The sequence below is a fragment of the Homo sapiens genome, chromosome 21 (assembly GCF_000001405.40).
Source record: "Homo sapiens chromosome 21, GRCh38.p14 Primary Assembly".
Taxonomy (NCBI): Eukaryota; Metazoa; Chordata; class Mammalia; order Primates; family Hominidae; genus Homo; species Homo sapiens.
The window spans coordinates 37,292,417-37,296,875 of record NC_000021.9 but is presented as its reverse complement, the minus strand read 5'-3'; the positions used below and the strand labels follow the sequence as shown (position 1 = coordinate 37,296,875).

Here is a 4,459-nt window from a genome sequence, read left to right as displayed (position 1 = left end):
CCTCTTTTAATTGCTTTTTTTTAAAAATGGCTTTATTGGCTGGGCGCAGTGGCTCATACCTGTAATCCCAGCATTTTGGGAGGCCAAGGTGGGCGGATCACCTGAGGTCAGGAGTTTGAGACCAGCCTGACCAATATGGTGAAACCCCGTCTCTACGAAAAATACAAAAAAATTAGCTGAGTGTGGTGGCACACGCCTGTAATCTCAGCTACTTGGGAGGCTGAGGCATGAGAATCGCTTGAACCTTGGAGGCGGAGGTTGCAGTGAGCCGAGATCGTGCCATTGCACTCCAGCCTGGGTGATGGAGTGAGACTTTGTCTCAAAAAAAAAAAAAAAGAATAAATAAAATGATTACAAACAGCTTTATTGAGGTCTAACTTACAAACCATAAACGTCACTCATTGTGAGGGTACAGTGTGATAGGTTTCCGTGAACTGACGCACTTAGCAACCATCACAGTCCAGTTTCCCAATATTCCCATCCACCCCCAAAAGTTCCCCTTGCTCCTTTGAGGTCACTCCTGTTCCCACCCGCAGCTCCAGGCAACCATTGATCATTCTGTGCCTCGATTTGATCAGCCACAACATTGATCAGCCATTCTGTCTCTATAGTTTTGCCTTTTCTAGAAATTTCATACACATGGAATCATTGACTATGTCTTCTGTGTCTGACTTCTCTCAGTTAGCAAAATGTCTCTGAGATTCATCCATGCTGTTGCGTAGATCAGTAGTTTATTCTCTCAATAGCAGGGGCATATTCCACGGGGGGATCATTTTCATGTCTTGATTTGCTCTCTTAACTCTCTGAAATGAAACAAAATGTTTTTACATTGGCATCGCTGGAAGTTTCCTATGACTAGAAATTCTAACCTTAGACAATTTCTTGCTGTTTCAGTGTTACGAGCTGAGGGGAAAACTGCACAGCATCTCAATTGTGTAGGCTGCTGGCAAAGAGGAGAGGACAGTTTTCTTACTGTGGCTGGTTTGTATTCTTAGATTTTAATGAATAATACCTATTTTTCAGTGAAAAATCATTGACTATCATTTTTAAAAGATATAGTTTTTTCTGTTTGTTTGTTTTGTTGGGGTTTTTTTGTTTGCTTGCTTGTTTGTTTTTGAGATGGAGTTTCTCTCTTGTTGCCCAGCCTGGAGTGCAATGGCATGATCTCGGCTTACTACAACCTCTGCTTCCTGGGTTCAAGCGATTCTCCTGCCTCAGCCTCCCGAGTAGCTGAGATTACAGGCATGTGCCACCACACCCAGCTAATTTTTCTATTTTTAGTAGAGACGGGGTTTCACCATGTTGGTCAGGCTGGTCTCGAACTCCTGACCTTAGGTGATCCGCCCACCTTGGCCTCCCAAAATGCTGGGATTACAGGTGTGAGCCACTGCGCCCAGCCAATAAAGCCGTTTTTTAAAAAAAAGCAATTAAAAGAGGCCGGGCTCAGTGGCTCCTGCCTCTAATCTCTGCCACTAGTAGAGACGAGATTTCACCACATTGGCCAGGCTGGTCTCCAACTCCTGATGTCAGGTGATCCACCAGCCTCGGCCTCCCAAAGTGTTGGGATTACAGGTATGAGCCACCACGCCCAGCCTAAAAGATATAGTTGTTTATGCAACATGCTAGTGTCATTTACCAGGGAACCATTATAATATGCCTATGAGCTTCATAACGACTTTATATGTATTTTACCATGAGATTGATGTAAAACCAAGTGACCTGTTGCAAACATAACAACTATCTGAGGCACTCACTTTTTACACTTACCTTAATTCTTGGGTTCAGAGTACTGGGCTGTAGCTTTTAAACTTCAGAAAAACGTGATATTCTGTGAATGCACTCCATGCATCTATTTCAGAGTGGACGTTCTCTGGTTCAAATATCTTCGTGTGCATGCTGCTTTGGAAACACTTTCTCAGCTTCCAAGGCATTCTCCAAACACTTCCTGACATAGCCAAGATTCCAGGATATTTGCAGAAGAGTGGCAGCTCCTCTCCCCACGATCCATTTCCGGCTGCACAGCTGAGAGGCCCAAAGTGGAAAGAGCAGCTAATGGCCTGGAGAATGTAGTTCATGGGCCCCAGAGTTCTTTATTTTTAACAGTGTGATTAAATAATATTTGTGACAGCACAGGAAATTAGACACATGTCTATTAAGTGCTTCTTTTGAAAAGGGCACAATTCCAGGGTTTAAAGCAATGATTTGTGTGTTTCATTCATTAAAAAGAAATTCCAGCATCAACTGTGTGCTGGGTGTCGTAGGAGATGGGAAGTTGAGCAGTTCTCGTTTTCAAGGAATTTACAACCTACAAGAGAAGATATGCCTCTGGCATTATTCTTTAGGTGACTTTTGTATTGCCGATGGACTCTGGAAATCTAAATGTTCTTTCACTGGTTTGTTGTGGCTTGGTAGGTAAAAATGCTTTCTGCATTATTCTGGAGATAGAAATCTTTTGCTTCACCAGAATATGCTTCTTTCCAATCACAAGAGTGAGTTAGCTGGATCCGGTGGTTTTCTGTGGGTGCATCTAAGCACTTCTGCAGCTTCTGAGATCTTTCATCTTAACCTTGATGATATGAAACATCTGTAACCATCATAAAGAGGACATGGGATGTTCACAAATAACCCTGATCCAGGAGCGAGAACAACCTGGGTGCTGAGTCTGGCTTTGTTGCTAATTAGCGGGGACCTTCTGTACACTTTGACTTCCCTAAGCCTTGAGTGTTTCGTCTGGAAAAGGAGGACGCGTGTGTCAATAAGTCTCAGGTTCCTTTTAGCAAGAAAATTCCATGAGGCCTTTTTCACTGAGGACACAAATCTCTGGCAAGAGTCCCTTGCTTCATAATGACAGTTAGGTGACCCTGTTGAGGATTGATGGTGTTTCTATTCCTCAGGCATTGTACATCTTTTCTTTCCTTGTGTTTGTAATGGAGCAAAGTATGAAACAAGTCATTGATATTTATTAAAGTTTAAAACATTGTTTTTGACTGTGCAGTTATGAGAAAATTAATGTTCATATTTCTTCAACATACATATTCCTATTTACTATGAAAATAAGAAAATCAAGTCATTAAGGTAGGCAAATTAGAAATGGAACTTTTGGGCTGGGTGCAGTGGCTCACGTGTGTAATCCCAGCACTTTGGGAGGCCGAGGCAGGTGGATCACGAGGTCAGGAGATCAAGACTATCCTGGCTAACACGGTGAAACCCCTTCTCTATTAAAAATACAAAAAATTAACTGGGTGTAGTGGCGGGTGCCTGTAGTCCCAGCTACTCAGGAGGCTGAGGCAGGAGAATGGTGTGAACCCGGGAGGCAGAGGTTGCAGTGAGCCTAGATCGCACCACTGCACTCCAGCCTGGGCGACAGAGCAAGACTCTGTCTCAAAAAAAAAAAAAAAAAAAGAAGAAAGAAAGAAATGGAATTTGGGGTTCTAGTGCCATTTCTTCCATTCTCTTTCAACCTCCAATCCCAAGACTACAAACAGGAAAGGTGATGACAGAGGTTGCACCATATCCAAGTCCCAATATCTTGCTGCTCTTCAATGAACGAAGGATAAAATCCCTGTCTTCACAATGTGCAAAGGGTTTTTTGTCCACCTTCTATATTTTAAAGATTAATTTCTTAGAGATATTCATAAAAGCTACCATAAGGTCTTTATGAAGAACAAAGGATGGCAAGACACCAAAAACAAAAAATAAAAGGCAGAGATTCAGTGTTTATCCTGCTTTCTCTAGGCACGATGCCAAGCCATTGCACATAGGAAACTCTGGCCCACTTTGATAAAATATGAACAAAATTCAAATATCAGGTCTTGGAAAGATCTGTAAATGTTCGTTTTGATTTAAAAAATATCTTTTAGTCAGTTTTTTAAAGGTGTAGCAAAAATTCACTTAAAGTTTAGATATAACATTAGTAAAGTTTAGGTGTTCAGTCAAATCTCCAACTGGTTAGCCACAGAAAGTGTGATGATTATTTACTTGGAAAAGGTAGACTGTGAGTTTCTTAAGAAAAAGAAAAAGAAAACAGTCCCTTCTGAATGTGATGAAGGCTTGGGAATAAAGGCCAGTGTTCCAGAGAAGCAACTGTCCAGTACCCTGTCTAGTGTTCCAGTGACAGGCTACAATTTGGCAGCATGAGTGTGAGCTGGATTAAAGATGAGATCGTCAATTTGATGAGCAGAGTTTTACAAATCTGGATGTAACCAATATAAATGTAAGTTTCAAGCAAGGTGTTGAGACTATATCTGGCTGCAAATGGCAGAAAACCCAAAATGACAGCAGCTTAAACATGATAGAAGTGGTTTCTCCAAGCAGCCTGGTGCAGGTATAAAGGGTGCCTCAATCAACAGGAACCCAGGCTCTTTCCACCTTGTTGCACCCCTAAGCATTACCTATGGGCCAAGAAGGCTCCTCAAGTCCCGTATAGGAAGCAAAAAGACAGAAGGCAGAGGAAAAGAAG

The 4,459-nt window shown here is 42.1% G+C and overlaps 1 long non-coding RNA gene across 1 annotated transcript; it reads right to left on the bottom strand.

Moving 5' to 3' along the window:
• Positions 1 to 343: 343 nt before the first annotated feature.
• LOC124905018 (uncharacterized) lies at positions 344 to 3,215 on the bottom strand. Its single transcript, XR_007067860.1, has 2 exons — positions 1,768 to 3,215; positions 344 to 803 (listed from the first exon to the last, which is right to left on the bottom strand). It is a non-coding gene; the product is annotated as an uncharacterized LOC124905018 (long non-coding RNA).
• Between the last annotated feature and the right edge of the window lie 1,244 nt (positions 3,216 to 4,459).